This window comes from Homo sapiens, chromosome 12 (assembly GCF_000001405.40).
Source record: "Homo sapiens chromosome 12, GRCh38.p14 Primary Assembly".
Classification (NCBI taxonomy): Eukaryota; Metazoa; Chordata; class Mammalia; order Primates; family Hominidae; genus Homo; species Homo sapiens.
In genome coordinates, this window is record NC_000012.12 from 130,128,551 (window position 1) to 130,141,603 (window position 13,053).

Here is a 13,053-nt window from a genome sequence, read left to right on the forward strand (position 1 = left end):
CCCTCCCCACCCCATTTTTCCCATCAGTGTCTGTAATATCACCCCACTTTCAAGGGTCAGACGCTACAGTACTGAAGGCCAAACACACACACCCAGGGGACGTCAGTCCTTCAGCGCAGCAACAGAAGGTGACTCACAGCTAATTCTGCTTAGGCTACACTAAATTGGCACAGCCAGACTAAAATACTTTTGACTAATTCATTTGGCAGGAGCATCAAAGCCCAAAAAGGATTGAGTCCAAGTTTCCCCCTCTTAAAAATAAAATAAAACAGAAACAAAAACAAATCCTGGCAAGAAGAGAGGCAAAACCCTGACTATCTTTCATCTTCTGTGTTCACAAGAATGGAGATGCCACAGGGCATGACCTGTGTCTGGGCCGTTCACTGTGACATCCTGCTCCTAGCATCCTGCCTGGCCCAGAGCAGGTGCTCAAGAAGTGTTTGCAGGATGGTGTTGTTAGACAAGAAAACACCCTACACTTAATGGCATAAAACAACCGTGATTTTACTCATGGCTTCTGAGCAGCCAGAGCTTGGACAGGGCATGCTTGGGCTGTTTTCGCTCCGCTCCATGGTCTGGGGCCTCGGCTTTGAGCATTCGTGTGTGTCCAGGGCTGACTCAGTAGCTAGAGTGCAGACCTGGAGGTGTCTCCACTCACACATGTGGTGGTTGTGGCTGACTGTCTGCGGGTTGGGACCTCAGCTGGTTTGTTGACCACAGCACCTACTCACGTGGCCTCTCCATGTGGTCTCTCCGCATGGGCTAGCTTGGGCTTCCTGGCAATATGGCGGCTGGATTCCAGGAGTAGTATCTTCAAAAGAACCAGGAGGACGCTTTGTTACTGTCTATGGCTTATCCTCAGAAGCATCTTATCCTCATAGCATCACTTCTGTCATCACAAGCCCACTCAAATTCAAGGGGAAGAAATACAGGCTCCTCCTCTCGATGGGAGGGTTGGGGTCAGAGTCACCATTTGAGATGAGCCTGTGGGATGGCAGGTGGTGTTTCAGCTGGTTTGAGGAGCATGGTGTGCGACAGATGGTGGATGGATGAGACCCAGATGGGACACTAAGCCAAAGCGTCTTTGAGGTGACTTACTCAACGCCCCTGAAAGTTTTCATATGTGGCCTTAAGTATAATGGAGCATCACTACAAGTGGTCAGATGGACCTAAGGTTTGGAGTTGAATCACCATCAACCTTTTAACCTGCGTGGCAAGGCAGTGTTGTGGTTAAAAGTGAAGCCAGGCTGGGCATGGTGGCTCACACCTTAATTCCAGCACTTTGGGAGGCCAAGGTGGGCAAATTGTTTGAGCCCAGGAGTTCAAGACCAGCCTGGGCAACATGGCGAAACCCTGTCTCTACAAAAAAAAAAAAAAAAATTAGCCGCTAGCCAGGCACGGTGGCATGTGCCTGTAGTCCCAGCTACTTGGGAGGCTAAGGCAGGAGAAGCACTTTAGCCCAGGAGGCGGAGGTTTCAGTGAGCCCGGATCATGGCATTGCACTCCAGCCTGGGTGACAGGAGTGAAACCCTATCTCAAAAACAAACAAATAAACAAACCCAAAACAAACAAACAAAAGTGACGCTAGATCAAGGTCAGTCTTCTAGCCACGAGGCTGTGTTATCATTTTGCAAGACGTTATCATTAGGAAAACTGGCTAAAAGGTACATGGGATCTCTATATTACTTATGAATCTACAATTATCTCTGTAAAAATTTCAATTAGAAAAATGTGGAGCCAGGCTGCCAGGATGTGAGGCTCGAGTCTGTCACTCACCAGCTGGGCAAACCCAGGTCCACAACTTACTCTCTTTGTGCCCAGTTTCCTTATCTGCAAAAGGAGGCTAATAATAATAATAATAGTAATAAAAATATAAGCTTCGTAGAGGTGTGGGGATACACAAAGCTAATCCGTGGAAAAGGATCAGGAAGAACAGCTCATGCTGAAACATCCTCATGGAATTTCACCAGCTTCCTCGTGATAGGAGATGACTTTCCATGGAACCCACAGGCCCTGAAGATGACCCACATAAAAATTAGGAAGAAGCAGGAAGAGGGAGCCGGTGATGACTGTCTTGGAAAAGTCACATCCTGGAGACATCTGTCCAAGAGATCCACTGGAAAGTTGTGTGTTAGCCAAAGCAGTCCGCTGGCTGTAGGCATCGCCCATGACATGAGCAGAAAGAGCCAAGGTGGACAAAGATAGCAAGTGTTTAAAAGAGATGGCCTGTGGCGTCAGGAGGCACAGGTCCCTAGGACGGAGAGCCTGCATGCCGGGCCCTCTCCCAGACACTGAAAGGTCTGAGCGTGGAAAGGAAGACATTCAAGTTCATGATTTGGAGGGGCGTGCTAGGTGCCAAGCTCTCTAGCTTTTTTCCTCATATTTAATACTTACAGCAACTTCTAAGACAGCTTTTATGACATTCCCCACTTGATGGATTAGTTTGCAGAGGTGCAGAGAGGACAAGAAATGTGCCTAAGGCCACCCAGCTAGGAAGTGAAGCAAAACAAGAGTTGAAGCCAGCTGGCTGGCTCCTTCGTCTGCTCCTGGCTGCCTGCATCAGAGACGACCCCTCAGGCCGGGGGTGCGCACCTGGCTCTCACCTGCCCCCGATACCTTGGTGCTAACTCCTGCCTTTGCGTTTTTGCCTATCCTGTGTTTGCAGATGAGCTACTTGCCCTGCTGTGTGCACGGATGGCTCACAGTGGGTGCAGGCGGCCTGCGGGCACAGTCCACGCTGTGATTAGCAGCAGCAGAGCCCCTGGATACCTCTGCCCAGAGCTCCGCGGGGTCAGCCATGCAATGGCACCATCGGATGAGCTGGCAAGGGCCTCCCAGACAGGCGGAAAGAGGGCTTGGCAACTGCACCATGTGTATGTAAGTCCCAGCTGGGTGTCCCTGGTGTCAGTTTCTCAGTCTGTAAAATGGGCATCATTTGGCTGTTCCATGGATTAAATGAGGGGATACGTGCAAAGAACTTTAGGTTCCTCAGAGAGAAATCCAGATAAAGTTAGCAAAAGAACAGGAGTGGCCCCAAATCCTGAAAGCCCTTGGCACCTTCTTCCTGTACTCTAGACAGATGCCATCTCCCTGGCACCATCTGTGCCCACACCCACAACCCCACCCATCTGTGAGGGGGTGGGGGTGGAGGGCATTCTAAAGGTTTTTTGGGATCCTCCCCAGCAAAATTGGAGCGGTTTGTTCATTCTCGAGTCCACTCCACACTCTCTGGGCCCTGCTGGGCATGAAAGGAAACCACCCTTCTTGCCTCCCTCACTGTCTGGCTGCTAGGTGGGGTCAAACAAAGGAGGCCCTGGCAGCAGAAATCTGGAGGCCAGGAGCAGGGAGAAGCCGGTGTCTCTCCTTCTCTCTCTGCTCTGCGGAGGCAGCTTTTCCTCATGGGACAGGCGTCTTCCAGGGTTCCTGCTCCTGTCCAGGTGGCCGTGCTTGGCTCTAGCTCGGATGGGCCCAAGTCAGGTGACATAGCTCCTCCCGATGTCCCTCCAGCCCATGGGAGGTGGAGCTCCCTGCTTCTGCCTGTCTCCAGGCGCTGAACCAAGCCTGCCTGTTTTCTCACTGTCCATCACCGTGTCTCCAAGCCCCTGGACTGGATACCCTGTGTTTCAGCTTCCTTAGAGTGACTTTTGATGTCTTCCCTGGACTCCAGACTTCCACTTAGAAGCAGCAGGAGTGCTTAGAATCCACAGACCTCCCCTAGTCCTGTGTGAGTTACGTTTCCTCTGCCAGGAAGAGGAAACATAGAGCCAGGTGACTTCTTCCATTGTCCTTTATTTTTATTCATTCATATATTCAGCCCGACTGGCTGAGCACCCATAATGCGTCTATGTGATGCCATCTGGGAGCTTTTAAAGAGTTTATTAATAGTTTACACAAAAAGTGCTTACGGGGTGCATGGGTGTAACCCACAGACTAGTGGGATTGGAGCACAGATGGTGCTGTGTGTGGGTACTGAGGCCAGCCAGCGGGGAGGGGTCCAGCTGCTGACCAGGGACCCCTGAAGCCACTGGGCAAGGCAGAGCGAGCACCCTGGGCAGAGCCAGGGCTGTCTCAGCAGGACCGGCCAAATGAGCGAGTGAGTGCTCCTTCCTCCTTCCCAGAACATGGGTGGCTTTGAACAGGAGGCAGGCACGATCTGCGGCTGCCGTCTGTGCAGGCAGAGAGCAGCTCTTGGTGGGCCTATTCATTCTGTTTGACACAGCAGAGGGACAGTGCTCTTTGAAGACTCTGTTGGGGATCGTGAGAGGTGGATTAAGGGTCTCCCCAAAGATGTCCACACCCTCATCCCTGAAACCTGCGACTGTGTCACCTTACAGGGTTACAGGGACTCGCAAATGAGCTGGAGAGATTTTCCTGGGTATTCTGTGTGGGACCAATGTCATCCCCAGGGCCCTTAGAAGAGGGAGGCAGGAGGGCTGGAGGCAGAGGAGGAGAGGCGACCAGGGAAGCGGAGGTCGGAGGGATGGAGGGCGGGAGTCAGGAACGTGGGCACCTCTGGAAGCTGGAAGAGGAAAGGAAATGGATTTCCCCCCGCACCCTGGAGCCTCCCTGGGGACAAAGCCCTGGTGACACCTGAGTTTAGCTCCGTGAGACCTGTTTCAGACTCCTGACCTCCGGGACTGTAAGGTGAGTCATCTGTGTTGTTTTAAGCCCTTGGCTTGGTGATTTGTTACAGCAGAAATAGGAACTCATTATATACGGGTAATAATGGCTGACCTTTACTGAGCGCCTCGACTGGGAGCCAGCCACTTAGAAATGATCCCTTTGATCTTACAGTGCCCCTGTGAAAGGGTATTGTTAGGCTCATTTTACCGCAGAGAAGCTGAGGCTTACTGCAGACAAGCAACTTGCCCAGAGTCAGAGGAAAAGGAAGTGGGCACCTGAGTGAGACTCTGCCAGGCTCTGCTGGGAGCCCTTCATGTGTACAGGCTGATCCCAGGCTCACAGCAAGCCCGTGAGGTCCAGGCGGTCGCCATTCTCCTCATGCTTACAGATGGGGAAACCGAGGCACAGCTCATCTCCGAGGTCCCCGTGTTAGGAAACGTCAGAGCCAGGATTTGAACTCAGGCAACTTCTCGCCGGAGTCTGTGCTCTGGACCCCACGGGGAGGGGTGAGATGGAAGCCAGGCATTTACAGAAGCCAAGACCAGGGAAGAGCATGGACCTTAGACCACAGCACCCCTGAACCATCGAGCCCCTGCCACACTTCCTGGAATGCTCTTTGTGGAGCATTGAATAGTGTTCACCCAAAAGTCATGCCCTCCTCCGAATGTAACCTCATCTGGAAATGGGGACACTGCAGATGTCATGAAGGTAAGGACGGAAAAGAGCGCGCACTGGAGTAGGCTGGGCATGAAATCCAGGGAGAGAGTCCTTCTGGGAAGGAGGAGAGCAGACACAGAGACACACAGGAGGGCGACACGGAGGCACAGGCGGAGACTGCAGTGGAATCATGCTTCCACAAGCCGAGGAACACCGACGGCTGCCGGCACACCACAGCTAGGAGCGCCAAGGGCTGCCGGTACACCACACACCACAGCTGCACAGAGGCCTGGGACAGATGCTCCCATGGAGCCTGCACAAGAAGCCTCTCTGCCCACACCTTGACTTTGGACTTGAAGCCTTCAGAGCGGTGAGAGGAGAGGCTCCTGTTGCGTGAGGCCGGCAGCCCCAGGACACACACTCTTCCCGTGGGGCCAGCTCCTCCCTCCCCAGCACCACGAGGCGCCCCGGAGAATTGGGCTCTTGACCCGGGCCAGGCAGGAAATGCAGGCTTGCTCTTTAAAACACATTAAAAGGGATCCTGCAAAGGTTAAAAAAAATAAGCAGATGAACAAGATAAGCGTTCCCCTGGGACCTGAAAGACGCAGAAGAACAAGTAGGAGGAACATTCGGAGGAGAAGACCTAGCTGCAGCTGGGTCCTGGCAAAGTTATCGGGTTCTGCTCCCTCTGCCTGGGTGAGGTACTGGCAAAGTTCTCCGGTTCTGCGCCCTCTGCCCAGGTGAGAGCCACCAGGTCCTCCTGTTTCTGCAAGCAACGGTCCCCAGCCCACTCCTCATGCAGAGAACTCCCTCTTGGTGCCAAGGCCGATGGGGTGCCCCCGCCACTACCCAGCTATCCCTGCTGCAGAAGCACAGGGCGGTCAGGGCAGGCGGAGTTCTGCAGCATGCACCCCCCAAGCCTGGGACCAGGCACACCGACAGCACTCCCCAGCATATCCCTGCTGATGCAGGCCTGGGGCCCGGGGGGTGTGGTGTGTGTGTGTGATGTGTGCATGTGTGCGTGTGTGTGTGTGCTGTGTATTATATGTTTGTTATTCAGTGTGTGTGCATGTGTGTACAGATGTCCGTGTTTATGTGTGTACACGTGTGGTGCACACATGTATGGTTATGCATGCATGGGTATGCATTTGCATGTGTGTGATGTGTGCATGCACATATGTGTGTATCTGTGTGTGTATGCGCATGCCTGTGTATGTGTGTATATTTGTGATATATGTATGGGCAGTGCAAGTGTGTGTGCTGTGTATTATATGTAGGTAAATTGTGTGTGCCTGTGTGCACAGGTGTGTATGTGTGCACGTGTATATGTGTGTACATGTGTGGAGCTTAACCCTGTGATTGTGCACATGCATGTGTATGTATGTGTATGATATGTGTAGGTGCATATGTGCATGTGTATCTGTGTACATATATGTGCGTGTGTGTTTATGTGTAGTGTGTGTATATTTGTGATATGTGTATGTGCAGTGTATATGTGTATGATGTATTATACATGTGTGAATCTGTGTGCATGTGTGCAGATGGGTATGCAGATTGTCATATGTGTGTGGTGTATACATGTGTGGTTGTATATGCATGAACATGTATGTGCATTGTGTGATGTGTATCCATGTGCATGCCTGTATGTGTGTGTACATGCTTGTATGTCTGTATTTGGGTGATGTGTGTATGTGCATGCATGTGTGTATGTGCCTATGTGTGTGTGCATATGTGTGTGCGTGTTTACATGTCTGTATTTGGGTGATGTGTGTGTACATGTGTGCATGTGTGTGTGCACATGTGTATATCTGTATTTGGGTGATATGTGTGTATGTGTGGGCATGTGTATGTGCGCTTCTGTATCTGTTTATGTTCATGTGTATCTGTGTGCCTGACATGTACATAGAGGTACGTGAAGCTGTGTGAATCACATCAGCAAAGTCTCTTTTGCTGTAGAAGGTGACATGGTCACAGGTTTCAGAGATTAGGGCCTGGATGTCTTGGAGTCCACGGCTAAGCCTGCCACAGAAGGCATTCCACAATCCCCCCGCCAGGTCATCCTCAGTTTCCCCTTTCTACGAGTCAGAAAAAACAAAATGACACTCAGAGGTTCAGCTCTGCCTACAGATGCCTCTGTCTACCCTAAGTTCTTAACAAATCCTGTTTTGTTACCAAGACGTACAAATCAGGTCATTTCACTCCCACGCCCAGTTGTCCAGCTTCCCTTGAGGAGTCAAGGCCTCAAGGCTCTGCTGGCCACCCTCTTCCATGGGAGTAACTGGCTGGGATTCCCTGGGGCTGCCCCTTAGAGGAGGCCTGGACAGTCCAGTTTGCCACAGACCTCACCGCTCCCTCATACTCCGTTCCTGAGAGCCGAAGTCTGCCAACTTTTCCCACACACTTGCACTTTCTCTGAAATGTCTCCTCATAGTGGAGTTAGGGAAGACTGGGGCGTTTCTTGCACGTACAACTCTATCCCAGGCACAACCCAAGCTGGATGTGCTGGGTGGGTGTTTTTAACCCAGGACTCAACCCTCCTTCATGCTCCCAGCTGGGCCCCGACGGGCATTGGTGCCTGTGACCCCCCCACTCTCAGTGTCTGACTTTCCATATTCTTTGTCTGCTTTTCTAGTTTGACCAAGGAGCTTATGTTTTTAAGTCATGGAATAAAACATGGATTACTATTGTGGGTTGAACTGCATCCCCCAAAAAGATCAGTGGAGGTCCTAGAAACACAGGACTTCAGAATGTGACTGTGTCTGAAGACAAGGTCATTGCAGATGTAATTGTTAAGATGAAATCATACTGGAGCAGGCTGGGCCCACTCCAGTACGACCGATGTCATCATAAGAGAAGAGACACAGAGACTCCACGTGGAGACAGAGGCGGAGATGGGAGCAATGTGGCCACAAACCCAGGGTTGCCACAACCAGCAGAAACTAGGAGGAGGCGAGGCAGGAGCCTCCCCTGCGCCTCCAGAGAGAGCCTGGCCCTGCCAATACCGTGATTTCGGACTTCTTTTAACCTCCAGAATTGTGCAAGAATAAATGTTGCTTGTTTTGAGCCACCCAGCTTGTGGTCCTCAGTTACAACAGTCCCAGGAAACTAATACATCTAGTAAATAAAATGAGAGCGGTTTCTCTGCATGAACTGAAATGATGGCGGGCTCTGCAGGGACAGTTCGCAGACATCTGCAAACAAATACTGTCCAAACCGTGGTAAACAGCCGTCTTTTATTTCGGCGAAAGCCTTTGGGCCAGTTTTCGTATGTTGTTGGAAGCACTAAATCTCTCGCTGGCAGAGATCTGCAAGCAGCTACAAGCCAGCGGCTCACCTGCAGCAAAACGCCTGGAGGCAGGTCCATGCAATGCCCACGTCTTGCATGTCATTGTGCAGTTAAACAGCTCCTGAACCAGAGAGCAGCTGCGCCCAGACAGCTTCCCGGGTGGTAAGAACTGTATTTGACCTCCTGGCAGCACAAACGACTGAATAACAATTAAACAAAACAGGACAGTCTCCGTGTTTCAAAATGCGCATTTAAACCTAAAAGAAACACGGTGTGTTTACTTTCTGAGCCTGGCCTTCCCTGGGTGCACAGTGAGCCACTTCTGAAAGCGTATGGGCACACCCGCTACAGAAACCAGCTTACACTGGCTCGGTTGCCAGTCCTGGGGCATTTCAGAAGAATTGAGTCAGAAAGGTGTTTTCTGTGGGTGATTCAAAGGCTCCAGGTCTCCAGAAATTTGTTGCATGAAATGGAGAATAAGTAGGCTCGGGCTCGGACTTGGCCGCGTGCAGCTTCAGGGGTGAAGCTGCTTGGAGGCCAGGGGCCAGCCCCAGTGCTTGGATGCTGGGGTGCAGATCCGGGAATGGGATGATAGCCAGGTGGAAAGGGGGAGGTGGCTCCTGGGTCTTGGAGAAGAGGGTGAGAATATAACCAAAGATTTGTCTGAAAGCCAGACAGTGGAGAGTCAGCTTGGCTGTGAATCATACCTAGTTTGAGCATAAAGATGAGAAGTGAAAACAGAGATGGGGAGGTAAAAAAGGAGGGGGAGGTGAACAGAGAGGCTTAGGTCCCCATCGATAACAGTAGCTAATGACACGTGAACACGGGATCTCTTTGCTTGCTTTTCTTTTTTTTTTTTTTTTTAAGACAGGGTCTTGCTCTGTCACCAAAGCTGGAGTGCAGTGGCACAATCATGGCTCACTGCAGCCTCAACCTCCCGGGTTCCAGTGATCCACCCATCTCAGCCTCCAGAGTAGCTGGGACTACAGGGGTGCACCACCATACCTGGCTATTTTTAGTATTTTTTGTAGAGACGGGTTTTTTTGCCATGTTGCCCAGGCTGGTCTCGAACTCCTGGGTTTAAGTGATCTGCCTGCCTCAGCCTCCCAAAGTGCTGGGGGATTACAGGTGTGAGCCACTGCATCTGGCCAAGGGATATCTTTTGAGATCTTCTTGCCCCAGAGCTTAATTTCAGAATCCAGCGTGATTGTTAAAGAAGAAAATAAACGGGCTTTTTCTATTTTACCTGGAGCATGTCACCAGGACAATTTTCATCCAAAGACCTAGTTCAATGGGGCTCCTTCCCCAAGCTCCCCACACACGCTCCGGGAATCGATTTTTTTTACAGTTGTCTGAAGTGCAAGTCAAGCTTTTGCACACACACTCTCTCTCTTTCTCTTTTTCTCTGTCTTAAATTGCCAGAAATGTACAATTTTCCTAATGGAGAGTTTATTTCAGGCTCATCAAGATAAAATAAATTCCGCTGGTGTGCAGCCGGCCAGGCGCAGGGCAGAGCGGCGGCAAGCGGCCCGCGGGCAGAGGGGGCAGCGAGGGTCCATGCTCAGCGTCTGAACGTTACATTGGCATCTGGGGAGGGGGGGGGCTCCATGTGTGGTCACGTGAACTCCGAGAACGAACCTGGCTGAGCACAGTCGACCTTGTCACTGTCATGACCCAAGGTGTCCTCTGTGACTGGACATGGGGCGGGGTGCGTTACGTAGATGACTCGTTAAGCTCTAGTGGCTAACTCAGTGCGTCCATGAAGGCTGTGCGGAGATGCGGCCGGCAGAAGGCAAACATAGATGACGCTGGGGATATCGGTGTAAATACGGGTATGGCCAGTTGGTCGATACAGAAGGGTTTGTTTGAAGGCCTTCGCTCACACGATTGTGGCTGCTGGCAAATCCAAAATCTATAAGGCAGGCTGGCGGCTGGAGCCTCAGGCAGGATTTCTACGAGGCAGAATTTCTCCTCCTTCGGGAAACCTGCTTCCCCTCGGAAGGCCTTCTGTGGGCTGCGTGATGTGCTCCCACATGCTCAGGGGCAAGCTCCTTTATTGGCTGTAGGCATCGGCCACATCCCCAAAACACCTGCCCAGCAACCCTGAGATGACTGCTTGGGTTCGTCTCCAGGTACGCTAAGCCTGCCCACATAAAACTGACTGCCACACACTGACGTTCTCCGGTGAGAGATGGGAGACTCAGAGAGGCCACTTCCTTTGCCAGGGTTGTAGAGCAATGGAAGGGCTTGAGTGGTCAGGTCTTTGGGTCTCATTGCCTGTGGTTCTAAACTAGCAGAGTGTGGAATGCCTCGGCTTCCACTGACCCTGTGGCCCCGGCAGGGCCTCCACCATCAGGACCGCCGAGCACGCCCTCCTGCCAGGAGCGACGTCCTCCTTCCTGAGAAGTTTCTCGTGGGTGGGAGGGATGGGAACCGGACTCTTGACACCTCCCTGGTGCCCCAGCCCCACCCTCGCAAGGCGGACCACCCAGAAGGTTCTTCCGGCCCCTTTTCCAAAGCCCTCCTGCCTCACTTAACCCAGCCCAGGTTAACTGATGACTGTGGGAAGAGATGTTTCCAGCAGCACACTGTCTTGTAATCCAAGGGGCCCTGGAAAAAGGGGTTTCGCAGCGGCACTGTGGTCTCAGAGTCCATGCGAGAGGAAACACATCTGTCCCTGTATTTTCCGCAGACACCCCCCCTCGCCTCCCCCACGTCCCCACAGGCTGTCATATTGTTTCCAGTTGTGTTTATGGTAAACTCAGGCCATAACACGCCTCTGTCGTTGTAAAAGATGGAAAGAGTCTTAGGAGAGAAATTTTCATCCCAGGCCTTTCAAGCGGCATTTTCCCGGTGGTAGAGGTGAATGGGAAACATGAAGCAGCTGCCTGCAGGAACGTTTTTCCCTCTGTGGCAAGGATAAACAGTGAAAGGCGTTTGCTGAAGATGGAAAGAGACACTGTGCAAACCAATATGCACAGCTCCTGAGGCCTGTGCTGGGGGCCGTGGCTTGCTGACGTCTCTCCAAATACGCAAGTCAGAGAAGGGCTGACTCACAGGTCATGGATTGCAAAAAATATGGCACAAGCCTGACTTCGAACTTTCAAAGGGACAAGGACGTGCACGCCACAGCCACAGCCCCAGACCAGGGTGTAGGCCGTGGGGCTCCAGCTCCCTTCTGGGCATCACTGCTGTGTGTCCTTGGGAGAGTGTCTCCGCCTCTCTGGCACCTCCCTTCACTCTGGAAACCTGTCCATCAGGCCAGGGGACTGGGGTGGCGTGCGGCCTACCTCCTCCCACCTTCCGAGCCCAACCCCAAAACTGGATAAGCAGTCAGCTTGCACTCTGAACCCAGAACTGAAACGAGGATTAAGCTTCGCTTTGTGCGTGCCACAAACCAGACACCACATCCAACCTCCGGCTCTAGGGCCAGGAACTCCAATCACCAAGCATTTTTGGAAAACCAAATCAAAGCTAGATGGCTTTTCTAACATGTTATATTGTATTAAAGATTGAAAATGACATTGAGAAGTAAAAATAAATTGGAAATAACTGGAAAAATCTAAATGTCCAGTAACATTGGGGGATTCATTAAAAATTCTGACCCAATGGAACGTCGACGAGCCACCACAATGACCTTTTTAAAGAATGTTCCCTGCTGGGCAAAGATGCTCATGAAATCTTACTTGAAAAATAAAGTAGGCCATGGAAAGGTATGTACAGTAAGATCACACTTAGGAAATTATATATAATCGGGGTGCTCAGGCTTTCAGAAAAAAAACCAGAAGAGGCACACAGAGTCACAGGGCACAGAGTCTGGGTGGCGGGCCCCTATGAGATTTTCACTCTCTCTATGTATGCGTATTTTGTGTGTTATACATTTTATATAATGAGTGTATTAATTCTGTGATCAGAAGGAAGTCAGTGTTTTTGTGTTTTGTGTGTGTGTGTCTCAAGGCAGCATTATAAAAGGGACTAGGTCATCAGCTTCCTCAGCTACCCCACGGCAAACCGCCCTTGTTCTTTTTTTAACTTACAACAGCTCAGAAGCCAAACTTCAAACTGCTCTCGTCAAGGGTTTTTTCCTTCACACTAAGAGCCAGAGACATAGCAAGGAACCCGGCCCTGAAGCAGTGGGCACAGGCTGCTGACCGGCTCCGCCCTGCCTCTGGGACCCTGGGCAGGCTGCTTGACCTCTCTGGCCTCAGTTTTCCGAACTGTGAAATGGGAGCATTAATGACAGGATCAACCCCTGGGAAGCGCGGGTAGGGTTATATAATGAGAACACCGGTAAGTGCTGGGTCATAATTGGTGTCACCATAACTAACATAAATGACAAGAGAGGCAGCCAGTGCCTGCACGCCCAGGCCATCTGTCTTTCATCCCTGGGCTGCATCTCTACCCAACCCTGCTCTAGACTCCACAGAGAGATGCAGACCACTCCCTCTCCCCACCAAAAAAAGAAGAGAGATATTTTGTGTCTTTAA

At 51.5% G+C, this 13,053-nt stretch overlaps 1 long non-coding RNA gene across 1 annotated transcript, besides 5 other annotated features; it reads left to right on the top strand.

The window, feature by feature from the left end:
• Window positions 2,191-2,708: an enhancer, noted in NCBI's record as "H3K4me1 hESC enhancer chr12:130615286-130615803 (GRCh37/hg19 assembly coordinates)". NCBI's record gives its function as "activates a minimal SCP1, AML or CMV promoter by ChIP-STARR-seq in primed H9 embryonic stem cells {active_cell/tissue: H9 hESC(primed)}" and the evidence as "EXISTENCE:reporter gene assay evidence [ECO:0000049][PMID:30033119]".
• Window positions 2,709-3,225: an enhancer, noted in NCBI's record as "H3K4me1 hESC enhancer chr12:130615804-130616320 (GRCh37/hg19 assembly coordinates)". NCBI's record gives its function as "activates a minimal SCP1, AML or CMV promoter by ChIP-STARR-seq in primed H9 embryonic stem cells {active_cell/tissue: H9 hESC(primed)}" and the evidence as "EXISTENCE:reporter gene assay evidence [ECO:0000049][PMID:30033119]".
• Window positions 3,226-3,743: an enhancer, noted in NCBI's record as "H3K4me1 hESC enhancer chr12:130616321-130616838 (GRCh37/hg19 assembly coordinates)". NCBI's record gives its function as "activates a minimal SCP1, AML or CMV promoter by ChIP-STARR-seq in naive H9 embryonic stem cells {active_cell/tissue: H9 hESC(naive)}" and the evidence as "EXISTENCE:reporter gene assay evidence [ECO:0000049][PMID:30033119]".
• Window positions 4,832-12,282, top strand: LOC124903088 (uncharacterized). Its single transcript, XR_007063615.1, has 2 exons — window positions 4,832-6,020; window positions 7,913-12,282. It is a non-coding gene; the product is annotated as an uncharacterized LOC124903088 (long non-coding RNA).
• Window positions 8,624-8,793: an enhancer, noted in NCBI's record as "experimental_25699 CRE fragment used in MPRA reporter constructs". NCBI's record gives its function as "activates a minimal promoter by MPRAs in K562 erythroleukemia cells, with activity observed for the non-introgressed 12:130621804 variant allele {active_cell/tissue: K562}" and the evidence as "EXISTENCE:reporter gene assay evidence [ECO:0000049][PMID:34662402]".
• Window positions 9,578-9,747: an enhancer, noted in NCBI's record as "experimental_25704 CRE fragment used in MPRA reporter constructs". NCBI's record gives its function as "activates a minimal promoter by MPRAs in K562 erythroleukemia cells, with activity observed for both the introgressed and non-introgressed 12:130622758 variant alleles {active_cell/tissue: K562}" and the evidence as "EXISTENCE:reporter gene assay evidence [ECO:0000049][PMID:34662402]".
• Window positions 12,283-13,053: the final 771 nt, after the last annotated feature.